The sequence below is a fragment of the Homo sapiens genome, chromosome 19, assembly GCF_000001405.40.
Source record: "Homo sapiens chromosome 19, GRCh38.p14 Primary Assembly".
In the NCBI taxonomy this organism is placed as follows: Eukaryota; Metazoa; Chordata; class Mammalia; order Primates; family Hominidae; genus Homo; species Homo sapiens.
In genome coordinates this window covers 36,212,136-36,239,775 of record NC_000019.10, presented here as the reverse complement: position 1 = coordinate 36,239,775, position 27,640 = coordinate 36,212,136, and the positions used below count along the sequence as shown (strand labels likewise).

The 27,640-nt window shown below is 43.6% G+C and overlaps 2 protein-coding genes and 1 long non-coding RNA gene across 18 annotated transcripts in view, besides 5 other annotated features; 2 read left to right on the top strand and 1 right to left on the bottom strand.

Annotated features, from left to right (window-relative positions):
• The window catches only part of ZNF565 (zinc finger protein 565), a 63,869-nt gene that overhangs the window by 6,153 nt on the left and 30,076 nt on the right, over nt 1-27,640 (top strand). For 2 of the 7 annotated variants that reach the window (XM_017026343.2, NM_001042474.2), the window contains exon 1: nt 24,692-24,888. The exons of 1 other annotated variant lie outside the window; for it this stretch is intronic. The gene's annotated coding sequence lies outside the window, so the exon portion shown is untranslated. Of the gene's footprint in view, nt 1-24,691; nt 24,889-25,110; nt 26,758-27,640 lie in introns of those variants that run through there. 4 more of the 7 variants (NM_152477.5, NM_001366190.1, XM_011526512.3 and 1 more) reach the window with 3 other exon arrangements.
• ZNF146 (zinc finger protein 146) lies at nt 1,008-25,053 on the bottom strand. 10 transcript variants are annotated; one of them, XM_047439367.1, is made up of 5 exons: nt 24,580-24,670; nt 21,581-21,654; nt 13,703-13,822; nt 10,957-11,028; nt 1,008-4,117 (listed from the first exon to the last, which is right to left on the bottom strand). In XM_047439367.1, exon 5 carries the CDS (start codon nt 3,333-3,335, stop codon nt 2,457-2,459), a length of 879 nt encoding a protein of 292 aa, XP_047295323.1. In that variant the 5' UTR covers nt 3,336-4,117; nt 10,957-11,028; nt 13,703-13,822; nt 21,581-21,654; nt 24,580-24,670; the 3' UTR covers nt 1,008-2,456. The 10 variants fall into 10 exon arrangements, with proteins under 10 accessions (XP_047295323.1, XP_047295324.1, XP_047295322.1 ...); XM_047439368.1 differs by having other exon boundaries at nt 24,621-24,670; XM_047439366.1 differs by lacking the exons at nt 13,703-13,822; nt 24,580-24,670 and adding an exon at nt 24,756-25,053.
• Nucleotides 3,202-3,402: a silencer, noted in NCBI's record as "peak3458 fragment used in MPRA reporter construct". NCBI's record gives its function as "represses an SCP1 promoter by STARR-seq MPRAs in K562 erythroleukemia cells {active_cell/tissue: K562}" and the evidence as "EXISTENCE:reporter gene assay evidence [ECO:0000049][PMID:32103011]".
• LOC107985304 (uncharacterized) lies at nt 4,024-11,550 on the top strand. Its single transcript, XR_001753933.3, has 2 exons — nt 4,024-4,192; nt 10,208-11,550. It is a non-coding gene; the product is annotated as an uncharacterized LOC107985304 (long non-coding RNA).
• Nucleotides 5,200-5,701: an enhancer, noted in NCBI's record as "NANOG-H3K27ac-H3K4me1 hESC enhancer chr19:36724977-36725478 (GRCh37/hg19 assembly coordinates)". NCBI's record gives its function as "activates a minimal SCP1, AML or CMV promoter by ChIP-STARR-seq in naive H9 embryonic stem cells {active_cell/tissue: H9 hESC(naive)}" and the evidence as "EXISTENCE:reporter gene assay evidence [ECO:0000049][PMID:30033119]".
• Nucleotides 5,702-6,204: an enhancer, noted in NCBI's record as "NANOG-H3K27ac-H3K4me1 hESC enhancer chr19:36724474-36724976 (GRCh37/hg19 assembly coordinates)". NCBI's record gives its function as "activates a minimal SCP1, AML or CMV promoter by ChIP-STARR-seq in naive H9 embryonic stem cells {active_cell/tissue: H9 hESC(naive)}" and the evidence as "EXISTENCE:reporter gene assay evidence [ECO:0000049][PMID:30033119]".
• Nucleotides 24,427-24,616: an enhancer, noted in NCBI's record as "active region_14521". NCBI's record gives its function as "activates an Ori minimal core promoter by ATAC-STARR-seq in GM12878 lymphoblastoid cells {active_cell/tissue: GM12878}" and the evidence as "EXISTENCE:reporter gene assay evidence [ECO:0000049][PMID:35858748]".
• Nucleotides 24,727-25,156: an enhancer, noted in NCBI's record as "active region_14520". NCBI's record gives its function as "activates an Ori minimal core promoter by ATAC-STARR-seq in GM12878 lymphoblastoid cells {active_cell/tissue: GM12878}" and the evidence as "EXISTENCE:reporter gene assay evidence [ECO:0000049][PMID:35858748]".

Genomic DNA, 27,640 nt, shown 5'->3' with positions numbered 1-27,640 from the left:
TTTTCTCATACCCGTCCCATTCTCTCTCTGTAACAGCAGTGGGAGGAGTGACAGAGCTCGCAGGTTAAGACAGACACGCAGGTGTTGGTATCTAATGCACTGAACTGTGGAAGTTATGGGAAGTTGTTTTCTCTTTTTAAAAATAAAATTAGCTGGGCATGGTGACTCATACCTGTAATGTAATGGCAGCACTTGAACAGGCCATGGAGAATCACTTCACCCCAGGAGTTTGGGACTAATCTGGGCAATATACGGAGACCCCATCGCTACAATTTTTTTTTTTTAATTGGCACAGCATAGTGGTGCGTGCCTGTAGTCCCAGCTACTTGGGAGGCTGAGGTCGGAGGACTGCTTGAGCCCAGTAAGCAGAGGAGATTGCAGTGAGCCAAGATCCTGCCATGGTATTCTGGCCTGGGCAACAGAGCAAGATGGGAAAAAAAAAAAAAAAGATATTATCAAAAATTTAATATTTAATGCACACGTTTCCCATGGAAATATGCAGGAGAGGAAAACTGACATTCCAAAATCAGCCTAACTGAAAAAGACCAATTATATGAAGCCTGTGCATGTATGAACAAAGAAAAAGTTAAAGTTTTCTAAGCTCATTCTGCAAAATGTTAGAAATACGAAGACAGAGATCATATAGTGCAGCGGTCCCCAACCTTTTTGGTACCAGGGACCTGTTTCATGGAAGACAATTTTTCCACGGACGGTTTGTGGGGGTAGAAGAATGGGGATGGGATGTTTTCAGGATGAAACTGTTCCACCTCAGATCATCAGGCGTTACATTCTCATAAGAAGCGCACAACCTGGATTCCTCACATGCACAGTTCCCAATAGGGTTCGCGCTCCTATGAGAACTAATGCCACCGCTGATCTGGCAGGAGGTGGAGCTCAGGTGGCAATGCTCGCTCACCCGCCACTCACCTCCTGCCATGCAGCTGGGGGGAGCTGGGGACCCCGATATAGTGTGTATGCCATGTTAAAATAATTAAAACAGATTTGGATTGTGCTGTCCTTTTAAATTTTAATAAAATAGATTAATTTCATATTACATAGAGAGCAAGTCCATCCATTCATCCGTGATAAAATTTTAGAAATATTTTCTATAAAATGTTTAGTATTTAATTGGAAATGAATCCAGTATAACATGACTTCCACAGATACAGCATTCCCATCCTCACTCCCATTCCTATTTTGAGAAATTTTAAAAATACAGAAAAGTACAAAAAATAAGACAAGATATCCCTATACCACAATCCAGAATCAATCAGTATCTTCTTATATTTACTTGAAGTCTTTTGAAAGAGAAGTGGATGTTTATATAAAAAGCTGAAGTCCCCTTTAACCAATACCCATCCCACCTCCCACACTCATTATTTTCCCTTCTCCACTCTTCACAGGTGACCACTATCAAGAGTTTGGTCTGTATCCTTCCAATCCGTTTCAAAAACATGTACATACATATATGCATCCATTACCAATAGATAGTACTGAGTTTTATGAGGAAACTTTTAATTCAAATTTACAAAAAAGTCATTGTACTATCTGTATCATTCTGCAACTTGATCCCCCCTCAACAATTCTGGGATCTTTCTGTTAATACATGTGGATTTCATTTGTTGCATTTTACAGATATATAGTATTACATAAGAATTTCCCATATTGTTCGTGATGGGCTTTCTCAGTTGTTTCTAATTTTTGGCTACTACAAATCAAGCCACAGTAAATATCCTAGTGCGTATTTCCTGAGCATTCATACTCATAAGTAGAACCGCTAAGTATTTCTCAAATTGTTCCAAGGAATGTTTCCCTATTCCCAAGGTCATATGCATTTTAGTACATAGCTTTTCCATATTTCTGTTTTTAATCTCTGGATTCACTTTTGTGTATAGTTCATGGTCTATTTTTCCCCCTTGGAGAACAAACTACCTCCACTTAAAAAAAATAGTTCCATTATTTCCTCATTTCCTGATGCCACTTGTATCATATTCCAAATTCTAATAAATGCATAGGTCTTTTTTTGAAATCTCTTCTGCTCTGCTCAATCAATACCACAGGAGTCTTAATATTAGTTGTAGATGACCATGTCATCTATTTTTGTCTGTTCCTTTCCAATATTTACAACTTAATTTTTCTTGTTACTGGCGAAGATCTCCAGATCTATGGTGGTAGCAATAAAAAACAGGCCTCCATTTTCTGTTCCCACTTTTAGTGAAAATGTGCCTAAACTTTCACCATTATCTCTGCTGCAGGTTTCTCTGTTGGACACAGGGTTTTAATCATATGCATGTCTTTCTCTTCAGTACAAATTTTCTGGTGTCCCTTAAGTTTTTAGTACTTGTTAAAGTTAACCTCATTCGTGGTGCTTTGCTTCAGAAGGATTATTTCTGGGGCATGATGAGGTGCAAATTTCTAATGAAAGCTTTCCCACTTTCAAGGCTTTCATGGGGTTTTTAGTGAGTATGAATTTTCTGGTGTCTAATGTGGTGTGACTTCTGGCTGAAAGCTTTCCCACATTCACTGCACTGATAAGGCTTCTTACCTGTGTGTATTCTCAAATGCAGAGCAAGGGTTGAGAACTGAGAGAAAGCTTTCCCACATTCATTACAACCATAGGGCTTCTCCCCTGTATGGCTTCTCACATGCACAGTGAGAGATGAGCTCTGAGAGAAGGCTTTTCCACAAACATTGCATTCGTAAGGTTTATCACCTGAATGAATCCTCACATGTACAATAAGTGATGTTCGCTGAGAGAAGGCTTTTCCACATTCGTTACATTCATAGGGTTTCTCTCCAGTGTGAATGTTCTGATGTTTTATGAGGTACTTCTTCTGGCCAAAGGCTGTTCCACATTCACTACATTTAAAAGGCTTCTCTCCAATATGGATTTTCTCATGCTCAGTAAGGTTGGATTTGCCACTGAAGGTTTTTCCACACTCCTTACATACAAAGGGCTTCTCTCCTGTGTGAGTTCTCTGGTGTCTGATGAGGTTTGACTTCTGAATGAAAGCTTTCCCGCAATCTTTACACTCAAAAGGTTTTTCTCCAGTGTGAATTTTCTGGTGCGTAAGGAGGTTTTCCTTCTGGCTAAATGATTTTCCACATTCATTACATTCGAAAAGCTTCTCGCCAGTATGGGTGTTCTGATGTTTAATGACATACTGCTTTTGGCTAAAGGCTTTTCCACACTCGTTACATTCAAAAGGTTTCTCTCTCGTGTGAAAATGCTCATGCTCAGTGAGGTTTGATTTGTGGCTGAAGACTTTTCCACATACCTTACAGGCAAAGGGGTTTTCCCCACTGTAAATTCTCTGCTGGCTGAGGTGTGACATCTGAATGGAAGCTTTCCCACATTCACAAGGTTTCTCTCCAGTAAAAATTTCTTGATGAGTGAGGATTTACTTTTGGCTGAAGATATTTCCACATCTCTTACATTTATAAGGCTTCTCTGTGTATGATCTCCCAAATGCAGAGTAAGGGATAAGGTTTGAGAGGAAATGTTATCATACTCAGTATATTCAATGCTTTCTCTCTAGAAAAATTTTCTAATATTCAATGAAGTATTGCTACCTTCACTAGTTTCTCTCCAGCATGAATTTTCTGCTTCTCAATGAGATTGTCATCTAGCTAAGGGCTTGTCAATACTCCTTAGAAGCACAGGGTTTCTCTTCAGCATGACTTGCACGTTCGACGAAATGCAACATATGAGTAACAGTTCCCCCACATTCAGTAAATTCATAGGGTTTCTCTCCAGTATGAACACTCTGGTAACAGATGAGGTACAAACGTTTTAAACCAAAGACATTTACACTTAAAGGGGGTTAATACCATAAGGAGTAAGCTGTGGTAGAGAAGCTCCCAACTAAGTCCCTTGATGATTCTTTCCTACACAACCTCCCTCATGATTTCAGTCCAGGTTGTGTTTCAAACTGAAAACTTCAAAAAGGTGTGGCCTTAAAACAAATACGATCTGAGAACAGAGGAAGTATTTTTTCTTATATTCAACGCTCTTTTTCTCAGTCTTTCCTGGAGATGGATCAACATGCCTCCCAAGTCCTGGTGCCTCTCAAGTCCTGGTGCCTCTCTATCTGTGCATCATCTTCTCAGGCTTCTTCTAAAATGGAGTACAAAGAACCATAGCACAAAGGAGTTAAATTCATAAAGTGCCCAGAACCATGGCTGCCATATGGTAAGCCCTTCATTTTACCTTTATATTACTATCACTTTTATTTGTTAATTTTCCCATTACTAGCAATAAAATTTTTTGAGATTAACTCTGGTAGCCCATCTCCCAATATGAAAATAATCTATATTATTAATGCTTCCAACTAAATTATGAGAAGGGAACCCTACTTGAGGTGATCTAGGTAGAAAATTAACATTCATGGGTCCACAAAGCTGAAAGTACTCTTGAAAAATAACCTTTCCATTTCAGAATTTAGCAAGTTGTATAACAAATAATGAAGAATTGCCAAATAGAAGAAAAAGATGAAAATTAGAAAGTCTACCTGGGATGCTAAGGAAGAAAAATAATGTTCATCTTTCTTTCTTCTTTTTTTTTTTTTGAGACGGAATTTCGCTCGTTATCCAGGCTGGAGTGCAGTGGTGCGATCTCGGCTCACTGCAGCCTCCGCCTCCTGGGTTCAAGCAATTCTCTAGCCTCAGCCTCCTGAGTAACTGGGATTACAGGTGTGCACCACCATACCTGGCTAAATAATGCTCATCTTTCTAAGAAAAGGAATAGATCAACCAACAAGTGCTTCCTCCCAAAACCCCATTAAAATTATAAGGAGAAAATGGTACAAATTCCCTTATTCAAAAGGAATAAAGGATGGTGGCTGAAAAAAAAGTGTAAGGAACAGTTGAACATGCACTGTCCAGTCACGAGAACAAAGGACTGGACACACCTTCATATGAAATGGAAGTTTATCCCCTGCAGAATTTTAATCAGAGCTCAGGGGCATTCAGCAAATGAGATGACAGGAATGAGCTGCTATACGGAAATCAGAGATTAAACCCACATATATGGTAAGACCTGCAGCACCATTCTGCAGCTGAAGACAAAAGATGCTGGCTGGCCGGGCGCAGTGGCTCACGCCTGTAATCCCAGCACGTTGGGAGGCCGAGGTGGGCGGATCACGAGGTCAGGAGATCAAGACCATCCTGGCTAACACAGTGAAACCCCATCTCTACTAAAAATACAAAAAATTAGCCGGGCGTGGTGGCGAGCAACCAGATGCAAAGCTTGAACCCTGATTACATTCTGTAATTTTAAAAAACTATGGAAGGCATTCTGGGGACAATTGGAAAAATGTGAACATAGACTGGGTAGTCTAATATTAGGACAACATGGTTAATCTTCTAAGGTGTGAAACGGTATTTTGTTATATGGGAGAGCTCCCTTTTTTTTTGAGACAGTCTTGCTCTGTCGCCCAGGCTGTGTGGGGAAAAGAAAGAGAGATCAGACTGTTACTGTGTCTGTGTAGAAAGAAGTAGACATAAGAGACTCCATTTTGTTCTGTACTAAGAAAAATTATTCTGCCTTGAGATGCTGTTAATCTGTAACCCTACCCCCAACCCTGTGCTCACTGAAACATGTGCTGTGTCAACTCAGCGTTAAATGGATTAAGGGCTGTGCAGGATGTGCTTTGTTAAACAAATGCTTGAAGGCAGCATGCTCCTTAAGAGTCATCACCACTCCCTAATCTCAAGTACCCAGAGACACAACACACTACAGAAGGCCGCAGGGACCTCTGCCTAGGAAAGCCAGGTATTGTCCAAGGTTTCTCCCCATGTGATAGTCTGAAATATGGCCCCGCGGGAAGGGAAAGACCTGACCGTCCCCCAGTCCGACACCCGTAAAGGGTCTGTGCTGAGGAGGATTAGTAAAAAAGGAAGACCTCTTTGCAGTTGAGATAAGAGGAAGGCATCTGTCTCCTGCTCTTCCCTGGGCAATGGAATGTCTCCGTGTAAAGCTGGATTGTATATTCCATCTACTGAGATAGGGGAAAACCGCCTTAGGGCTGGAGGTGGGACATGCTGGCAGCAACACTGCTCTTTAAGGCATTGAGATGTTTATGTATATGCACATCAAAAGCACAGCACTTTTTTCTTTACCTTGTTTATGATGCAGAGACATTTGTTCACGTTTTCCTGCTGACCTTCTCTCCACTATTACCCTATTGTCCTGCCACATCCCCCTCTCCGAGAAACGCCCGATAATGATCAATAAATACTAAGGGAACTCAAGAGGCCGGTCCTCTTGAGAGGTCCTCCGTATGCAGGTCCTCCCTAACGCCGGTCCCCTGGGCCCATTTTTCTTTCTCTATACTTTGTTTCTGTGTCTCTTTCTTTTCCAAGTCAGTCCTTCCACCTGACGAGAAACGCCCACAGCTGTGGAGGGGAAACCCACCCCTTCAGGCTGGTGTGCAGTGGTGCGATCTCGACTCACTGCAACCTCGGCCTCCTGGCTTCAAGTGATTCTTGAAGCCTCAACCTCCCAAGTAGCTGGGATTACAGGCATGCATCACCACGCCTAATTTTTGTATTTTTAGTAGAGACAGGATTTCACTATGTTGGCCAGGCTGGTCTGGAACTCCTGACATCTGGTGATCTGCCCGTATCTGCCTCCCAAGTGCTGGCACTACAGGCGTGAGCCACCACGCCTGGCCAGGAGCTGCTTTTCTTGGTAGAAAATACATATTTAATTTTTTAGAAGTAAAACATCATGATGCCTCAGCACACAAAATAAACACATGGATACGGACATACAAAAGCGTGGCAAAATATTAATTATTCAATCCACATGGGGGGTACATAAGAGATTCTTTAACTATTCCTTCAGCATTTGTTATATTTAAAAAATGTTCATATGAAAAAATAATTGAATGGCTGGGCATGGTGACTCACACCTGTAATCCCAGCACTGTGGGGCCAAGAGTTTAAGACAAGCCTGGCCAACATGGTGAAACCTCGTCTCTACTAAAAATACAAAAAATTAGCTGGATGTGGTGGCATGCTCCTATAATCCCAGCTACTCAAGAGGCTGAGACAGGAGAATCACTTGAAACCGGGAGGTGGAGGTTGTAGTGAGCCCAGATCGCACCACTGCACTCCAGCCTGGGTGACAGAGGGAGACTATGTCTCGGGAAAAAAAAAAAAAAGAAAAAAGAAAAAAGAACTGATCAGTATTTCCACACAAAAAATTCATAGATTATTTAACAGCAACTCATGCGTTCTCAAACTACTGATCAGAAAAATAAAACATGGACCTTCCTTTTAACCGGATTATAATGCAGACTATAGACGGCAAAATCTAAAACCATGTTTAAGGTATCATTTGCTGAGAACTTGTAAGTTCCTCTGGAAAATATGAAGTAATGGACAAGCAGAGGGAAGAGGAAAAAAGGCAGAAGTAACAAACATTTTAATGAAAACTGAATTCAAGTTTATATAAGTAGTACCTACATAAGTAGAATATTTCATAATCAAAGGCCAAGATTCAAAAATTTTATAAAGAGAAAGAAATATGTTCATATTTGTAGTCACATAATTTGTATGTTTTTTTTTTTTTTTTTTGAGATGGAGTCTCGCTCTGTTGCCCAGGCCGGAGTGCAGTCTCAGCTCACTGCAACCTCCGCCTCCCAGGTTCAACCGATTCTCCTGCCTCAGCCTCCCGAGTAGCTGGGACGATAGGTGTGCATCACCACGCCCAGCTAGTTTTTGTATTTTTAATAGAAACGGGGTTTTACCATGTTGGCCAGGCCAGTCTCAAACTCTTGACCTCAGGTGATCTGCCTGCCTCGGCCTCCCAAAGTGTTGGGATTACAGGGGTGAACCACCGAGTCTGGCCTTTTTTTTTTTAAATAAAAAAGATACGGGGTCTCAACACGCTGCCCAGGCTGGTCTAGAACTCCTAGGCTCAAGAGATCTGCCGCCTCGCCTACAGATGTGAGCCACCGTGCCTGGCCCTTTGTTCTCTATTAAAGAGAGCTTAGTGTGTCTTTTTAAGGCTTGACTGATCCTATTACAAAGACCATGGGAAAAGAAATAATCCAGAAATAACATGAAACTGGTCTGAGGTAATCTCTGGATCTGAAAATAATAGGATGAAAATTTTAATTTGGGTAGCATTCTGACACAATGAGAATGAAATTAGACAGCTGTCTGTCCCATAAACAGGTAAAGTTGTGTAAGGCAAGACAGAAACTCTGGAGATGCCAAAATAAGAATTGATATTATAGTTAATTATAACTTAAGAATGAGTCCAGGTGTAGTGGCTCCCGCCTGTAATCCTAGCACTTTGAGAGGCTGAGGCGGGCAGATCACTTGAGGTCAGGAGTTTAAGACCAGCCTGGCCAACATGGTGAAAACTGGTTACCAAAAAAATACAAAAATTAGCCGGGTGTGGTGGTGGGCACCTGTAGTCCCAGCTACTCAGGAGGCTGAGGCAGGAGAATCACTTGAACCCGGGAGGCAGAGGCTGCGGTGAGCCACGATGGCACCACCGCACTCCAACCTGGACAACAGAGTGAAACTATGTCTCAAAAAAAAGAAGAACTTTTGTATTTTTAGTAGAGACAGGGTTTCTCCATGTTGGTCAGGCTGGTCTCGAACTCCTGGCCTCAAGTGATACACCTGCCTTGGCCTCCCAAAGTCAGTTGTGGTCACGTTTACGCGTGTCACGTATATCCTTCTTGAGGTAACCTAGGAATAAGCCAGTATATTATATCTATGCTGCAAATATATATACATATAAGCCCTAGCCAACATGGTGAAACCTCGACTCTACTAAAAATACAAAAATTAGCCGGCGTGGTGGCAGGTGCCTGTAATCCCAGCTACTTGGGAGGCTAAGGCAGGAGAATCGCTTGAACCTGGAAAGTGGAGGTTGCAGTGAGCCGAGATCGCACCACTGTACTCCAGCCTGGGTGACAGAGCAAGACTCAGTCTCAAAAAAAGGAAAAGGAAAAGGAAGGAAGGCTGGCCCTCTGTTGGGTCTCCCAAATCACTCAGAATCAATGTTGAAACCTGTGATTTGACCTGTTACCTAACCACTGCTACTCTTATTCCCTTTTGCCCTCTCTCTTCCAGCCCACGGCCCTGATCACTATTCTCTGAACAGGACAGCAAGCTTCTCCTGACTTAGGGCTTTTAACACTTTTGTTCCTTCTGGCTAATGATCTTCCACCCAATGCTGCACGCCCACTCTCGCACTCTTCAGATCTTTTTTCAAATGGCATTCAGTGAGACCTTTCCCCACCAAGCTGATTTAAAATTACAACCCCAACTAGCCCTCTCTATACCGGTTTTCCCTTACTTTATTCTTTTCCATAGCACTTATCACTATCTGATAGTATACATTTTTTAAGTATTTACTCATTGTCTGTCTCCCCATTATAACACCGTCCCTAGGAGGAAGAAATTTTTGACTGTTTTGATAGCTGACATTTCCCTAGCATCTGAAATAGTACCTAATACATATCATGCAATAAATACTTGTAGGATGTGAATATATCAGCTTGGTAGAAACGTAAATGGGTTTACTTCTTTTGAGAGCAATGTGCTTATCTCAATTAAATTTATAAACATAACTTTGACCCTGTATTCCACTTAAAAAGTAAATGCTATGTAGTTGTTTCTGCATATTTCTGCAAAGCAATATAAACAAGTATACACACTTGTGTCTTCAATAGCAGAAGCCTGAAAACAACCTAAATGCCCATTAGTAGGAGACAGGTTAAATTATGCGTTAGCCAGGCGCGGTGGCTCAAACCTGTAATCCCAGCACTTTGAGAGGCCGAGGCAGGCAGATCACTTGAGGATAGGAGTTGGAGACCAGCCTGGCCAACATGGCAAAACCCCATCTCTATGAAAAATACAAAAATTAGCCAGGTGTGATGGCACATGCCTGTAATCCCAGCTACTCGGGAGCCTGAGGCACAAGAATCACTTGACCCCAGGAGGCGGAGGTTGCAGTGAGCCAAGACTGTGCCACTGCACTGCCACCTGGGTGACAAAGCAAAACTCTGTCTCAAAAAAATGAAAATAAATAACAAATTATGTGTTGACAGAGAATTCTAAGAAAAAAACTTATGTACATAATAGAATATATAATATACCACCATTTATATGAAAAGGAAAAATTAGGGCTTATATGTATATATATTTGCAGCATAGATATAATATACTGGCTTATTCCTAGGTTACCTCAAGAAGGATATACGTGACACGCGTAAACGTGACCACAACTTTGCAAAAAAACTGCAGGACTAAGAGTCAAGAGTTAAGAGGAGATTTTTTCGGGAGTCTGAGGCAGGAGGACCACTTCAGGCCAGGAAGCTGAGGCCACAGTGAGCTGTAATTGTGCCATACATATAGACCCCCACACATAAAAGTAGCAGAGGGAAAAACTGATTTCTAGGTCAACAACTTATGACAGAGGTACATGGGAGCAGAAGAAAGGTAGGCAGAGGAGTCCATGGATCTACGATGGCAGAGATGAGTGAGAAGACAACGGGAAGTGTGAGAACAGGTGTAAAATATAATTCTGAGGCATTCAGCCACTAGAAAGGATGAGAGAAGGTAGTAACAAAAAGGAACCTGAATATCAGACAATATGTAAGGTTTTACAAAGTATAAAGGACAATGTGTGAGGACAGGAAAAGGTATGTGGATGAAGGAGAACAGCCACCACAGTGGCGGCACAGACGAAGCAGGAAGGCTGACATCAGAACAGCAACAGGAGGGGCGCCTGGCCCCTCTAGAATCTGGTGAAAGAAGAAGAATAATGAAACACACAAAAATGATGACTGGAAGCGTCATTCAGGAATCTAAAAATCTCATACCAAGCAATACTCTATATGTCTACAGCCTGGAAGAAAACATCCTTTGAAGCACTTCAGAGGACTCAATGCTGACTGAAAAACTGTGGCCTGCCTGTCATTTACTCACCCGCGCAGATCCTTCCCACTTCTTTCTCCACCATACAGTTTGTCTTCTTGCTTCAACAGAGGATCATATTAACTATTGGGAAAATGACACAGTATTACAATGTTAATGCTGGGTCCAAAGTACCATCCTAGAACTCAGGCTGAGCCCTGGGGTCTCCTGGCCTTCTGAAGAATGAGGGTGCAACTTCCAAAGATGCACAGAACAAAGTAATGACCTTCTGCCTTAGTGACTAAAGCACACACAATCATGTGGGCAAAGGGACTAGGGCCATTAGAATCCTAAACTTCAAAGCCATGCTCATTAAACCATTTAAAGTCTACACACATCCAGAAATGGGAGAAAGGGAGAATTACCTTTCAGAATTTTACTTACACAGGAGAGCTGTTCACACCTTGTGTGAGTGATTGCTGTTTTTCTCTAGCACCACACTCCCACTCAGGGTCCTGAGAGGATTTTAACTACAGCCCTTATTCGTGGATGAATTCAACACCCATGTCTGACTTTAACACGTTCCCATCAGAACTAAAGCACATGGGCACAATGTGAAGAAGTTGTTCTGACAGTACTCAAGAATAAAAACTCAAACATTTTCCTGAAGTCCTATTTACCCTCTTTGCATTATACTGAGAGTGAAATTCTTTCTTTTTTTTTTTTTTTTTTTGAGACAGTTTCACTCCTGTTGCCCAGGCTAGAGTGCAATTGTGCAATCTCAGCCCACTGCAACCACCGCCTCCTGGGTTCAAGCAATTCTCCTGCCTCAGCCTCCTGAGTAGCTGGGATTATGGGTGTGTACCACCACACCTGGCTAATTTTGTATTTTTAGTAGAGACAGAGTTTCACCATGTTGGCCAGGCTGGTCTCGAACTCCTGACCTTAGGTGATCCACCCACCTCAGCCTCCCAAAGTGCTGGGATTACAGATGTAAGCCACCGTGCCGTGTCCTATTTCATATTAGAGATGTCCTGGCCCAGGTGCAGTGGCTCACACCTATAATCCCAACACTTCGGGAGGCCGGAAGTGGGTGAATCGTTTTGAGTGCAGGAGTTCAAGACCAGGCTGGGCAACACAGTGACACACCGTCCTTATAAAAATACAAAATTAGCTGGGCGCAATGGTGTGCGCCTGTAGTCTCAGCTACTTAAGAGGCTGAGGTGGGAGGATGACTTGAGCCCAGGAGTTCAAGATGGCCTGACAGAGTGAGACCTTGTCATAAAAAAGAAAAGCAACAACCTGGAATACAGGTTCATCCATTAGTTCAAAAAACATTTTTAAGCCAGGTGTGGTGGTGTGCACATGCAGTACCAGCTTCTCAGGAGGCTGAGACAGGAAGATCACTCGAGCCCAGGACTTCCAGGCTGCAAATACATGATCATGCCTATGAATAGCCACTGCACTCCAAAAGAAAAAAAAAAATCTTTTTTTTTTTTTTTGTGACAGAGACTCGTTCTGTTGCCCAGGCTGGGAGTGCAGTGACGTGATCTCTGCTCACTGCAACCTCTGCCTCCCGGGTTCAAGCCATTCTCCTGCCTCAGCCTCCCGAGTAGCTGGGATTACAGGCATGCGCCACTACACCCAGCTAATTTTTGTAATTTTAGTAGAGACAGGGTTTCACCACATTGGCCAGGCTGGTCTTGAACCCCTGACCTCAGGTGATCCGCCCACCTCTGCCTCCCAAAGTGCTGGGATTACAGGTGTGAGCCACTGCGCCCAGCCAAAAAAAAAATTTTTTTTTTTTTGAGATGGAGTTTTACTCTTGTTGCCCAGGCTGGAGCGCAGTGGTGCGATCTCGGCTCACTGCAACCTCCACCTCCCAGGTCCAAGTGATTCTCCTGTCTCAGCCTCCGGAGCAGCTGGGACTATAGGCATGCGCCACCATGCCCCACTAATTTTTTATTTTCAGTAGAGACGGAGTTTCTCTGTGTTAGGCTGAACTCCCAAACTCCCGACCACAGGTGATCCACCTGCCTTGGCCTCCCAAAGGGCTGGGATTACAGTTGTGAGCCACTGCACGTGGCCCAAAAGAATTTTTTTAATCAATAGCAGACATTATTGGGATGACTGACCAAATTTGAATATGGACTTTGGATTAAATAATACTAATGTATCAATGTTAAACTTCCCGATTTTGATCACTGTACTGTAGTTATGAAAAAGAATGTTTTTGTTCTTGCAAAATGCATGCTGAAGTATTTATAGATAAAGGAAGCATGTCCACAACTGGTTTCAAATCGTTCAGGAAAAAAAAATCATACACATTTGGAGAAAGAGAGAAGGAAAAATAAAACAACCAAAATGTAAATGATTGGTGAAATTGGGTAAAGGATACATGGGACTTCTCTGTACTATTCCAACTCTTCTATAAAGTTGTAATCATATAAAAAAGCATAATCATAAAAAATTTAAGTTTCACATATATACCCCCCATCCACTATGTATGTTGAAAAAGCTTGATCACCCAATTCCTAATGGGGTGTGTCAGAGATATAAGGCTTAGAGCATGATTTAAACCGAAACATACATGACAGAAACACGAGAAGGTGAGTTGGCTGGAAGCAACTTGCAGGAGGGAGATCAAGTTTGAGACTCTATACATTCAGAGTGTAGGTTTCTGAACACATGCAGGCAGAGAGATCGATTAGGCAGTTGGATATACAGATCAGGAGCTCAGAATAGGGCTAGAACAGAAATGGGAACTTGCCAGTTGTCAGACTATTACTGCTGCTGAAGACACAGGGAGAAATGTTACCGTGGGCTGGACGCAGTGGCTCATGCCACTAATCCCAGCACTTTGGGAAGCTGAGGTGGGCAGGATCACTTGAGCTCAGAAGTTCAAGACCAGCCTAGGCAACATGGCAAGACCCCATCTCTGCAAAAAATTCAAATCCAAAAATTAGCAGGGTGTGGGGTGGTACATGCCTGTAGTCCCAGCTACTTGGGAGCCTGAAGCAGGAGGACTGCTTAAGCCTGGGAGGTGGACGTTGCAGTGAGCCGTGATCATGCCACTGTGCTCCAGCCTGGGTGACAAAGCAAGACCCTGTCTCAAAAAAAAAAAAAAAAAAAAAAAAAAGAATCACAAAGCAGGGGCAGGGCTTGGTGGCTCATGCCTGTAATCCCAGCACTTTGAGACACTGAGGTGGGTAGACTGCTTGAGCCCAGGAGTTCAAGACCAGCGTGCTTAGCACTAAAAAAAAATACAAAAAAACTAGCCAGGTATGGTGGTATGCACCTGTAGTCCCAGCTACTTGACAGGCTGAGACAAAAGGACTGCTTGAGCCTAGGAGGTTGAGGTTGCAGTGAGCCAGAAAAAAAAAAGTAAGAATCACAAAGCAGATGAAAACTGAAACATAACAAAATGAACTTAAGACACAAAACTTTTAAGAAGGAAGCAAAGCTATAAATAGACCACAAAAGATAAACAGAGGAAATGAGTAAAGAAACAGTCACCCAAAAGAAGGGAATCGACAGAAAACAGAAGAATAGGAATAGACATCTTATTTTTGTCCCATTTGATTTTTTGTTTAAGGATGCAATAACGAAATTTTGAGGGATTGTTGTTTCCTCAATCAACAGATTTTCCCTGGTTGTTGCACCTTGGCTATTAGCAGTGTCCTCAGTCTTTCTGCTCACACTCCCACTGACCCAGGCAGCATGGGTAATCTATATTTATATAATCATAATCTGTATCTGACCACAAAAGCCAGTATCTTATCTAATGTAAAAACACTGAAAAGCAAATCATGATAATAAAAGTAATAGAAAAACACTGAAGGCATTTCTATTAGATTCTAAACAGACAAGGATGCCTACTGCCTCAATTATATAATCTAATTACAAATAACTAAGGAAAGCAGGGAATAATATTAGTATGTAGAAATCAACAGCTTCATATATGCCAACAATGACTCCATTCATAGCAACATAAAACAAAACATCCAGAAATAAACTTAGTAAGAAGTGTCCAAACCTGTATGAAAAAAATTTTAAAACACCCTAGAGGACCCAAAAAGAAACGAGAATACGTATCACGTACATAAAGAGGAATATTTAATGTCATAAAAATGTCCCTATTCCCAAGTTATTTTATAAATTTAATGCAATCCCAATAAAAGTAACAAACTAGTTCTACCTTTTCCCCCTCTGGAACGAGACAAGCTAATCCTAAAATTTACAAAGAAAAATAAACAGGCAAGAATAGCCAGGAAACACTGAAAAGGACGAGCAATTAAGAGACTAGCTATACCACAAAGTAAAACACAATGATAAAGCCTCAATAGTAAAAAGATAAATATTTTCCCTGGTTGTTACACCTGGGCTATAGCAGTGTCCTCAGTCTTTCTGCTCACACCCAGAAACAGACCAAATAAATGTGAGAATTTAGTATATAATCAAAGTGGCATCCTAAAAATAGTAAACATAAGACCTTTTTTTAATGTGTGTGAGATGGAGTTTGGCTCTTGTTGCCCAGGCTGCAGTGCAGTGGCACAATCTCAGCTCACTGCAACCTCCGCCCTCCTATGTTCAAGCGATTCTCCTGTCTCAGCCTCCGAATAGCTGGGATTCAGGCATGTGCCACCACACCCAGCTAATGTTTTGTATTTTTAGTAGAGACAGGGTTTCTCCATATTGGCCAGGCTGGTCTCGAACTCCTGACCTCAAGTGATCCACCCACCTTGGCCTTGCAAAGTGCTGGGATTGCAGGCGTGAGCCACCGTGCCCAGCCAGGTAAGACCTTTTAATAAATGATGTCAAAGAACGTGGTAGCCAATTGGAAAAAGGTAAAGCTGGATGCATATCTGATAGCATACACCAGGATAAAATCTAAATGGATTATAAATTAAAATAAAAACAAAATCTTAAAAAAACTATTGCTCTGACTTGGGAAGCCAAGGTAGCAGGATCACTTGGGCCCAGGAGTTTGAGACCAGCCTGGGCAACACAGGGAGATCTTATCTCTACAATTTTTTTTTTTTTAAATTAGCGAGGATATGAAGGCTGCAGTCAGCTGTGATCACGCCACTGCACCCCAGCCTGGGTGACAGATCAAGATCCAACTCTAAAACAATCAAACAACAAAAAACTGTAACTTTATAAGAATTTGAAAATATCGGTGAAACTTAAGAGTGGAAAAGTCTGATAACCATAAAAGACTGATGAATCAGCCACGCGCGGTGGCTCACGCCTGTAATCCCAGCACTTTGGAGGGCCGAGGCGGGCGGATCACGAGGTCAGGAGATCGAGACCATCCTGGCTAACATGGTGAAACCCCGTCTCTACTAAAAATACGAAAAAATTAACCAGGCGTGGTGGCATGCGCCTGTAGTCCCAGCTACTTGGGAGGCTGAGGCAGGAGAATGGCGTGAACCCGGGAGGCGGAGCTTGCAGTGAGCCGAAATCGCACCACTGCATTCCAGCCTGGGGGACGGAGAGATACTCCATCTCAAAAAGAAAAAAATGTAACTAGATTTTTTTTTTTTTTTGAGACGGAGTCTCACTCTGTTGCCCAGGCTAAAGTGCAGTGGTGTGATCTCGTGCACCACAATGACTGGCTAAATTTTTTGTATTTTTAGTAGAGACGGGGTTTCACCATGTTGACCGGGCTAGTCTCAAACTCCTGACCTCAAGTGATCTACCCGCCTCAGCCTCCCAAAGTGCTGGGATTACAGGCGTGAGCCATCGCGCCCAGCCAAAAGTTTTGAAAATAAAAAGAAAACCATAGCAGCATGGTGGTGCACTGCCTGTAGTCCCCGCTACTTGGGAGTCTGAGACTTGCTTGGGCCCAGGGGTTCAAGGCCAGCCTGTGCAACACAGTGAGACTGTGCCTCTAAAAAATACATGAATAAAAAGGTCTTTGGTGTGGTGCGGGGATGTCTCTGTGCTCACCAACCACAGGGGGCTCATTCTAAGCACGGCTATGTAAAAAAAGAAACTATTATTACTAAATTAAAACAAAACCTCTTATTTCTGCAAGATTAAAAAAAAAAGAAACCACTGTGAACAATGTCCAAATGCAAATGAAAACTTCAAAAAAAAAAAAAAAAAAAGCCACCACTCATTTCATACAGGGCTAACCTTTCTAATTTATAAACAGCTCCTCTAAGGAGAAGACACCCCATAGAAAAATGGTGAAAAGGATATGAATAGACAGTTCCTAGATTAATACATACAGGCCTTTAAACATATAAAAAAAAATTCTCATTCATAAGAAGGGATGTAAATGAAACCTACACTGAAGTTCAGATTGTCTCTTATGTCCCTAGCGAAATACCAAATATTCGACACTACACTCATGGTGAGTTTAAGGGGAAGACGCTCTCGCACATGGCTTGTGGGAGTGTAAGTACTTACCCACTGGGCAGCGCCATTTGTATTAATAGCAGTCTAGTTTAGAGCTACTCCTGTGTCAGTATAAAATGGCGCACATAAAAAAATTATTCATTACTGCATTGTTAGCAACAGCAGAAGACTGGAAACAATCCAAATGCTCAACAACGGGATTAACTGAATCAACCATGGTGCATCCAAATAATGACATCTTATTTATACAGCAGCTGAAAAAAAAATTTCTTTTAAAGATTATGATTAAGAAGGAACACCTTGGCTGGGTGCAGTGGCTCACACTTGTAATCCCAACACTTTGGGAAGCCAAGAGAGGAGGACTGCTTGAGCTCAGGAGTTCGAGACCAATCTGGGAAACAGTGAGACCTCATCTCTACAAAAAGTAAAAAAGCCAGGTGTGGTGGAGTGTGCCTGTGGTCCCAGCTACACAGGCGGCTGAGGCAGGAAGATCACTTCAGCCCAGCAGTTGGAGGCTGCAGTATGCCATGTTAACACCATTGCACACCAGCTTGGGTGACAGAGCGAGACTATTTCAAAAAAAAAAAAAAAAAAAAAAGAAAGAAAAAAGGAAGGGCTATCTCTAGGACATACTGTTATTAAAGAAAGTGAGATATAGGGAGGTGCATGTGGTATGCTATCTTTTATGTAAGGTGGAGGGAAACAGGAGTGAAGAGAAATATATAATAGTGACAGAACAAAAAACAAAAAACCCACTTGAAGGATAAACAAGAAGCAAACAAAAAAAAACAAGACATGTTTACATAAGACAAAGAAGAATGTGACTGGGGGAAGGGAGCAGAATGAGATATCTCTGTGAGATAGATCTTTGTTGAATCACAGAAATGCATTACTTACTTCAATAGTAATCAAATTCATTTTTTAAAAAGTAGTGCCTTGGCCAGGCACGGTGGCTCAAGCCTGTAATCCCAGTACTTTGGGAGGCTGATGCGGGTGGATCACGAGGTCAGGAGATCAAGATCATCCTGGCTAACATGGTGAAACCTCGTCTCTACTAAAAATACAAAAAATTAGCCGGGCGTGGTGGCTGACACCTATAGTCCCAGCTACTCGGGAGGCTGAGGCAGAAGAATGGCGTGAACCCGGGAGGCGGAGCTTGCAGTGAGCCGAGATTGCGCCACTGCACTCCAGCCTAGGGGACAGAGTGAGACTCCGTCTCAAAAAAAAAAAAAAAAAAAAAAGCAGTCCCTTAACCTGAAAACAACAAATGAACCCAACTGTATGTTAATTTAGTAACATAATTCCTCAGAAAAACGATTTCAAATGACTTTAGAACAGAGTTCTTTGACTACATACATCTTTAGTGAGATGCATTTTAAAAGCTGGGCTCAGTGGCTCATGCCTGAAATCCCAGCACTTTGGGAGGCCAAGACGAGTAGGAAGTCAGGAGTTCGAGACCAGCCTGGCCAACATGGTGAAACGCTGTCTCTACTAGAAATACAAAAATTAGCTAGGCGTCATGGTGGGCACCTGTAATCCCAGCTACTCAGGAGGCTGAGGCAGGAGAATCGCTGGAACTGGGGAGGCAGATGTTGCAAGTGAGCCAAGATCACACCACTGCACTCTGCCCTGGGCAAAAGAGTAAGACAACATCTCAAAAAAAAAAAAAAGATGCATTTTAAGAACAAAAATAGTTACATATATTAAAGAAAGAATTTTTTAACATGATACAGTATGTTTATGGTTACTACTAGTATCAGCATTGTTACTGAAACCATTTTCTTTATATTGCAGGATAAAGCAAACAAAATAAGTACTTATAACTTGTTTCATATTTTTTACTATAAAATACAACTAGGAGGCCGGGCGCCGTGGCTCACGCCTGTAATCCCAGCGCTTTGGGAGGCCAAGGTGGGCAGATCACCTGAGGTTAGGAGATCGAGACCATCCTGGCTAACACGGTGAAACCCCATCTCTACTAAAAATACAAAAACTTAGCTGGGCGTGGTGGCATGCACCTGTAGTCCCAGCTACTCGGGAGGCTGAAGCAGGAGAATCACTTGAACCCAGGAGGCGGAGATTGCAGTGAGCTGAGATCGTGCCACTGCACTCCAGCCTGGGCGACAGAGCAAGACTCCGTCTCAAAAATAAAATAAAATTAAATTAAAAAAAAGAACTAGGAGCTAAGAAATTAGGTAAAAATACTATACCATTTAAAGTGAATTAGAAATACGAATATGGACTCATGATTTTTAAAAATACATTAAAAATGTATTTTTTAAATGCTCTGCAATTTAAAATGGCCTTAAAACAATGTTACCCCTGGGCAATGAGCACACCCTTGATCTTGTCTCTAATACCATTCTCCAATAAAAGGAACCAGAGCTCCTTGGAGAAATGGTCAATTCCAAGTCTGGGAGGAAGATACAAGCCTGCAGTGCAGGAAAACTTTCCAAGATCAATGATGTCAGCCAAAATGAGACAAGAATGACCTGAAGGGGTATCCACTGGCATCAAAAAGTGCAGCTGATTCTAGAACACGCTAAATATACACAACTTTAGGATGATGTTTAAGAAAGAAAAAGCCAGGGGGAAAAAAAGATACAATTTGATGTAACAATGAAACAAATGTAAAAGGAATGAAAAGACAAGAGAAATTAAGACTATACTTCCAGGGATCATTTCTAGTTTGTTCCCAGAAGTTTCTCTTAACGTATAGACTACTACATTTTTACACAAAACAAACAAACAACAACAACAAAAAAAACAGAAAATCATCACTTTACAATACCTGTAGAAATTTACTCATCCAGCCAAGAATTATGTATTGGTTTTAAAACCATCCACTAAATGACTGATGGAGAATGAACCAAAGTAAACATAACATTTTGGTCAAAGGGAAGTAACAATCACCAGCCATCTGGTATATCTCTCCTAATGGTATGCAATTTGAAGTATGTAAGATCACCTCTGATGTATTCTGGCCAAAAATCAATCACAATTAGAATTAAAAAAAAAATCATCAGAGATTCTGAATTAGAACCATGCAAAAGTAATCATAGAAATCAAAGAACAAATCTTCCAAAGGAGCGGATAATGATGACTTTCTAAAGATAAACATAACTCAAACACAGAAATCTAACTTCCAGCCTGGGCAACATAGTAAGACTCCATCTCTACAAAAAAAGGTTTAAAAATTAGCAGGTCGTGGTGGCACACACCTGTAGTCCCAACCACTGCGGGGGTGGGGCTGAGGTGGGAGGATCTCTTCAGCCCAGGAGGTGGAGGCTGCAATGAGATGTGATCGCACCAGTGCACCCAGCCTGAGCCAGAGTGAGACCCCATCTCAAAAATCAAAAAACAAACCTAACTTCCTGATTCCAGTTAAAAAAGGAAATATCCACAGAAAATTTTAAGTGGCCAGGCGCAGTGGCTCACGCCTGTAATCCCAGCACTTTGGGAGGCCGAGGTGGGCGGATCACGAGGTCAGGAGATGGAGACCATCCTGGCTAACACGGTGAAATCCCGTCTCTACTAAAAATACAAAAAATTAGCCGGACGTGGTGGTGGGCGCCCGTAGTCCCAGCTACTTGGGAGGCTAAGGCTGGAGAATGGCGTGAACCTGGGAGGTGAAGCTTGCAGTGAGCCAAGATAGCACCACTGCACTCCAGCCTGGGCGACAAACCGAGACTCTGTCCCCCCCTCCACCAAAAAAAAAGAAAATTTTAAGTAAAAAAATTAAAATATAGAAATATTAGGCCGGGCGCAGTGGCTCACGCCTGTAATGCCAGGACTTTGGGAGGCTGAGGCAGGTGGATCACAAGGTCAGGAGATCCAGACCATCCTGGCTAACGCGGTGAAACCCCATCTCTACTAAAAATACAAAAACAAAATTAGCCAGGCGTGGTGGCTGGCACCTGTAGTCCCAGCTACTCAGGAGGCTGAGGCGGGAGAATGGCATGAACCAGGGAGGCAGAGCCTGCAGTGAGCCGAGATCAGGCCACTGCACTGCAGCCTGGGCGACAGTGAGACTCCATCAAAAAAAAAAAAGAAATATTAATAACAAAAGTGCATCTACATATCTTATTCTTTCAGAAATTCCTACCAGACACAGGACTATAATATTTTCTGAGGAAGCATTTTTTTTGCAGCTAGTAATAAAAAGTACTAGTATTTAACATTAATCAAGTACTTACTACACACTGGGGACTATTCTTAGAACTTTACATGTATTAACTTCTGGAGCTACACAACCACCCTTTGAATCAAATATTGCTATTATTTCTATACTATGAAATGAGCAACTGAGGCCCAAGGTTTAAGTACCTACCTGAGGTCCCCAAGGTAAAAAGTGGCAGAGGAAGGAGTTAACACAGGAAGTCTGGCTCCTTGGCCTATGTCTTCCTTTAATTTAAAAAAAAAAAAAAAAAAATTAGCTCATGCCTGTAATCCCAGTACTTTGGGAGGCTGAGGCAGGCAGATCACATGAGGTCAGGAGTTCGAGACCAGCCTGGTCACCATGGTGAAACCCCGTCTCTACTAAAAATACAAAGCCTTTGCCCTGTCTATTCCAGTACCCCCACCCCAACAGCCAGTTTTATTATTTCGTATGTATCTTTTGAATTTTTTTTTTTTTTTTTGAGATGGAGTTTCACTCTCGTTGCCCAGGTTGGAGTGCAATGGCGCAATCTCTGTTCACTGCAACCTCCGCCTCCCGGGTTCAAGCAATTATCTTGCCTCAGCCTCCCAAGTAGCTGGGATTAACAGGCATGTGCCGCCACGCCTGGCTAATTTTGTATTTTTAGTAGAGACGGGGTTTCTCCATGTTGGTCACGCTGGTCTCAAACTCCTGACCTCAGGTGATCCGCCTGCGTTGGCCTCCCAAAGTGCTGGGATTATAAATACATATTCTTATTACCCCTTTTCTTATTCCAAATGCATCGTGTATCATACTCTACATTCTGCACCTTGCTTTCTCTCAGTTAACAATACATTTTGAAGTTATTTCTGTCTCAGTATATAAAGAGCTTCCTCCTCATTCTTTTGTACAGCTATGTATTATTTTGTTGTATCGATGTACACCAATCTCCCACTGATGGGCATGAACTGTTTTTCTTTTCTTTCTTCTCTCTCTCTCCTTTCTTTCTTTCTTAAGACAGGGTCGGCCAGGCACCGTGGTTCATGCCTGTAATCCTAGCACTTTGGGAAGCCGAGGCGGGCCGATCACTTGAGGTCAAGAGTTCAAGACCAGCCTGGCCAACATGGTAAAACCCTGTCTCTACTAAAAATACAAAAAAAGTAGCCGGGTGTGGTGGCAGGCAACTAATCCCAGCTACTCGGGAGGCTGAGCCAAGAGAATCGCTTGAACCTGGGGGGCAGAGGTTGCAGGGAGCAGAGATTGGGCCACTGCACTCTAGACTGGGCAAGAGAGAGAGACTCCATCTCAAAAAAAAAAAAAAAAAAAAAAAAAGACAGGGACTGGCTGTCCACCAAGCTGGAATGCTGTCGCCAGGATCTCTGCTCACTGCAGCCTTGACCTCCTAGGCTCAAGTGATCCTCCCACCTCAGCCTCCCAAGCAGCTAGGACTACGGGAGATCTCACTATGTCGCCCAAGCTGGTCTCTAACTCCTGGACTCTAGCCATCCTCCTGCCTTGGCTCACAGGTGTGAGCCACCAAGCCCGGCCTGAGGCTTTATATTTAAAATGTGTTGGGTCCCCATCTCCCCACACCTCAACGCCTTTTCTTTCTCAGTCTGTACTGGCTCTTGCAGCTTGTCTCTTTCCATAGTAAGTCTAGGATCAGTTCCCCTAGTTCCAAAAGAGAAAAGCCTGTCCATACTTTTATTAGGATCACATTATTACTATTATTGAGACGGAATCTCGCTCTTGTCCAGGCTGGAGTGCAGTGGCGAGATCTGGGCTCACTGCAACCTCCGCCTCCCAGGTTCAAGCGATTTTCCTGCCTCAGCCTCCGCGGTAGCTCAGATTACAGGCGCCCGCCACCACGCCCGGCTAATTTTTGTATTTTTTTATTTTATTTTTTTTTAGTAGAGACAGGGTTTCACCATGTTGGCCAGGCTCCTCTCGAACTCCTGATCTCAGGTAATCCACCCATCTCGGCCTCCCAAAGTGCTAGGATTACAGGCATGAGCCACCGCACCCGACCAAGATCACAGTAAATTAATACATTCACTTAAGTTTGCGCACACTTCTTAATGTCACATGGTATATTTATTTGTTCACATTTGTTATGCCCCTTAGTAGTATTTTAAAGTTCTTTCCTAATAGTTCTGAACCTTTAAGTTTCTTCCACAATACTTTATCTTTTTACTGCTATTGTAAATATTAGTTTTCTTCAACTATGTATTCTAACTGATATTTGTAAATTAGAAGGCTATTTATTTATAGATATTAACTTGGTACCCAATTACTTTATTTAACTTTTTGTAATTTAAAACTATGTCAATGACGACAGCGGGGGCGGGGTGATTTCCTTAGAAAACGCATCTTTGGAGACGTCAGTAGCATTCTCCATTACTTCACAAAATCCATACAACCTGAGAACGCCTCGACTCATTAAGGAATTAAGACACCTAGGATTTAGTCCAGACTCATAGATAAACACTGCAACAATTAAGCTTTCTTCAAAAAATGAGGATAACTGTGCCTAACCTAAAACCGTTGACTCCCTCATCCTGGGCGCCGTTATATGGGATTGCTTCTCAAAGCGTACAATGCTGTTTAGTCTAGGGCTTTGCTTAACAGCCCTATTTAAGTACCCCAAAGATGGGGATTTGAATAGTCTGAAGTAGGCACCCCGAAACTAAAGTTCCTTCGAAACACTCTCGTTTAATTAAAAAAAAAAGTCACGGTGATTTGCATGCCACTCCAATTAAAAAGAAATGCTTTTATATAAAAACTCGTTTTAAAATTATTCACCACTTAGCTTTTCCACCCCTTCAATTTTCAAGTAAAAAAGACGCTCCAGGAAGATGGCACCGTTATAATTATCAGCACTTTCGACAAGGGAAGTGCAGCTCAAACGTTATACCTCAATGCTGGTCTCCTACATCTCCCTCTTAGGCACAATCACACACAATCCCGCACCCAGTTTCACATTCACTCAACAATCCCAAACATCAGGTCAAACTTTGAGGACAAACTCGGTCACACTCGCTCAAACCCGCCTCAGAGGCCCCCATCTCCGCCCCGCACGTAGGCCAGAAGCTCTTACACCCACTCCCTGCCCTCGCGCCGCGCCCCTAAAGATCAGGAATCCTCCCCTTTAACCTCCCCGGTCCGACCGACCCGAGACGCCCAGATCCCACCTCCTACTTTCGCGCCACGTGGACCCAGGGGCCGTACTGACCCGCGGACAAAGACCAAAATGTCCACTCGGTGCGCTGCGCTTGCGCACTCGGAGAGCGAGGAAGCACTCCCAGAAGTCTCCGCGACGCGGCCCGCCTCGGTCACCGCGGCCAGGCCCAGGCTGGTACTGAATTACCTTCTATTACCAGCAACGTCGCTTCTCAGGCCTTGGACTACATTTCCCTTGAGGCTTTACTGGTCGACTCTCTGTCTCCTCCCCTCCCCCCGCGAACTTGGCCGCCTCCTTCTGTGACGATGGAGCTCTTGAGGTAAGTAGTCCTTTAGCGTCAGATGACTTCAAGCTTGCTGGAAGGTCTGGAGTGGCGACGCCCTCTCCGAAGACTCGTGGGCGCAAAAATGTCAAAACGAGCCAGGCCCCGACTCAGAGATAAGAGAACGCCATTCTGTCCGTGGCCGATCTAGCTCTGGACTACAATTCCCAGAGCCCACAGCGGCCTGACGTTACGTCGTTCTTGACGTCGTGGCGAGCTAGTTAGCTCCGCAAGGACCCGGACGCGACCAGGGGAGGCAGAAGGTGAGGGGTCTGGGAGTCCTGGGCGGGGCCGGGGCGTGTCCGGAGCCTCGAATCTGTGCGCGCAGGCGGGAGCTGGCTGCGGATGCGCCGTTCTGAATGTGTCTTTGTGGCTGTGTGGCTGGGTGTGGGTGTCTGCAACTGTGCACGTGTAACCGCCTGTCTCCAGGGTGTCTGGTGGTTTTTGTGTAACCATGTGTGATAGAGAGTATCGGGGTGCAGGGTCCTTGTGACCGGGGGTGATACTGCGTGTGTCCCCGTTGTATATGTGGCCTGTTCGCCCTGTTCCTGGGGTGTGAGTACAGTTGTGACTGTGTGACCACTGCGGGTGTGCGGTTGTGATTCATGTCTCCAAGGTGTGTGCGTGGTTTTGGTTGTGTGACACTGTGGCCGTGTGCAATTGCCTGTGCCTGTGACTGTGTGGTGACGCCGCTTGTGTATTCCTGTATCCCTTGGTGTGTGTGTTTGTGTGTATGTGTGTGGTGCTGTGTATGCGGGAGTGGGGTGCCACTGCTTGTGTGGGTTGCTTGTGTGAGTGTGACTGTGTGTATGTCCACAGTGAAAGTTCAGTTGTGACTGGGTGCCGTAAAGTACCAGTGATGGCGTGTGTCCCCTGAGTGGGTGTGTGACTGTGACTATATGAGGCATTTGTGGGTGTTGGTGTGTGGGGCTTGTGACTATACGGGAGTAACTGTATCACAGTGGAGAGTAGATTGTGTGACTGGGTGTGTCTTAGCGGGTGTGTGATTGTGACTGGAAAGATATTGTGACTGGAAAGGTATAGAGGTGTCTGTGATTGTGTCCTGTGTCTCAGGAGTGGATGTAGGGCCGGGTGTGGTGGCTCACATCAGCCCTTTGGGAGGCCGAGGTGGGAGGATCACTTGAGCCCAGGAGTTCGAGACCAGCCTGGCCTGTACAAAAAAAAAAAAAAAAAATTAATGGCTGGCACGGTGGCTCACACCTGTAATCCCAGCACTTTGGGAGGCCGAGGCGGGTGGATCACCTGAGGTCAGGAGTTCTAGACCAGCCTGGCCAACACGATAAAACCCTGTCTCTACTAAAAATACAAAAATTAGCTGGGCGTGGTGGCAGGTGCCTGTAATCCCAGCTGCTCAGGGGGCTGAGGCAGGAGAATCGCTTGAACCCAGGAGGCAGAGGTTGCAGTGAGCCGAGATCGCGCCATCGCACTCCAGCCTGGGGGACAAGAGCGAGACTTCGTCTCAAAAACAAACAAACAAAAAATTAAAAATTATCTGAGTGTGGTGGCCCACACCTGTGGTCCCAGCTACCCGGGAAGCTGAGGTGGGAGGATCTCGAGCTTGAGAGGTCAAGGCTGCAGTGAGCCGTGTTTGAACCACTGCATTCCAGTCTAGGTGACAGAGCGAGACCCTGTCTCAAAAAAATAAAAGAGTGGATGTGTGGTTATGTTTGTGTGACACTGACTGTATGTGCAGCACCAAGTGTGCCAGTGACTCTAGTGCTTGACCCATGCAGAACCTTTGAAGTTAGGACAGATTCTGGCCCTGGACAGGAGTGACCTCAGCCTTCTGAGTGACACTGGATTTAGGCAGATGCCTGGTGTTCTGTGACCACACTTCCCTATATGGTAGGTAAGGAGGATGGTGGTTCAAAAATGACCTGGTTGTTCATGATTCCTTGCTCTTAACCCTTCTCCAAGAAAGGTGCCAAGTTCAAGTACATCAGGTTTTATTCTTATTTCTCTGAAATCCTTCTTGTTTTTCAGGACATGCTTTTCTTTCCTTCTTCTGAAACTTCAGAACCACCCCACCACCACCCTCACCCCTACCAAAGTAACCTGGTCTCCAGTATTTGCCATAGGAGTAATTTACTGCGTGCCTTGGAGATGGACTGAAAGGCCTATATCCTCCCTGCTCCCTGCATACCTAATGTTCTTTTAAATTTTTTTCTTTACTTTTCATTTTGAATTTAAGACTTTAAAATGTAGCAACAATAGAATTCCCATTTGCTCTTTTTTTTTTTTTGAGACGGAGTCCTGCTCTGTCACCCATGCTGGAGTGCAGTGCTGTGATCTCAGCTCACTGCAACCTCCACCTCGCAGGCTCAAGCGATTCTCCTGCGTCAGCCTCCTGAGAAGCTGAGATTACAGACAAATGCCATCGTGCCCAGCTGATTTTTTGTAATTTTAGTAGAGACGGGGGGAGGGGGGTTTCACCATGTTGGCCAGACTGGTCTCGAACTCCTGGCCTCAAGTGATCCTCCTCCCTCAGCATCCCAAAGTGCTGGGTTAGAGATGTGAACCACCATGTCTGGTCTCCATTTTCCTTTTTGTAACTCCTTTGACACGCCTAGCCAATTTTTTGTATTTTTAGTAGAGACAGGGTTTCACCATGTTGGCCATTTGTTTTGTAGAGTCTGCAGTGTAGAATGTTCCTCTCTTTGGAATTGTCTGATATTTCCTGTTGATTAAATTCAGATTCTGCCTTTGGGGCAAGAATACTCCGAAAGCG

Excerpts from the sequence above, each read along its gene's own strand:
- ZNF146 (XM_047439366.1), bottom strand. The coding sequence starts at position 3,335 with ATGTCACACCTCAGCCAGCAGAGAATTTACAGTGGGGAAAACCCCTTT.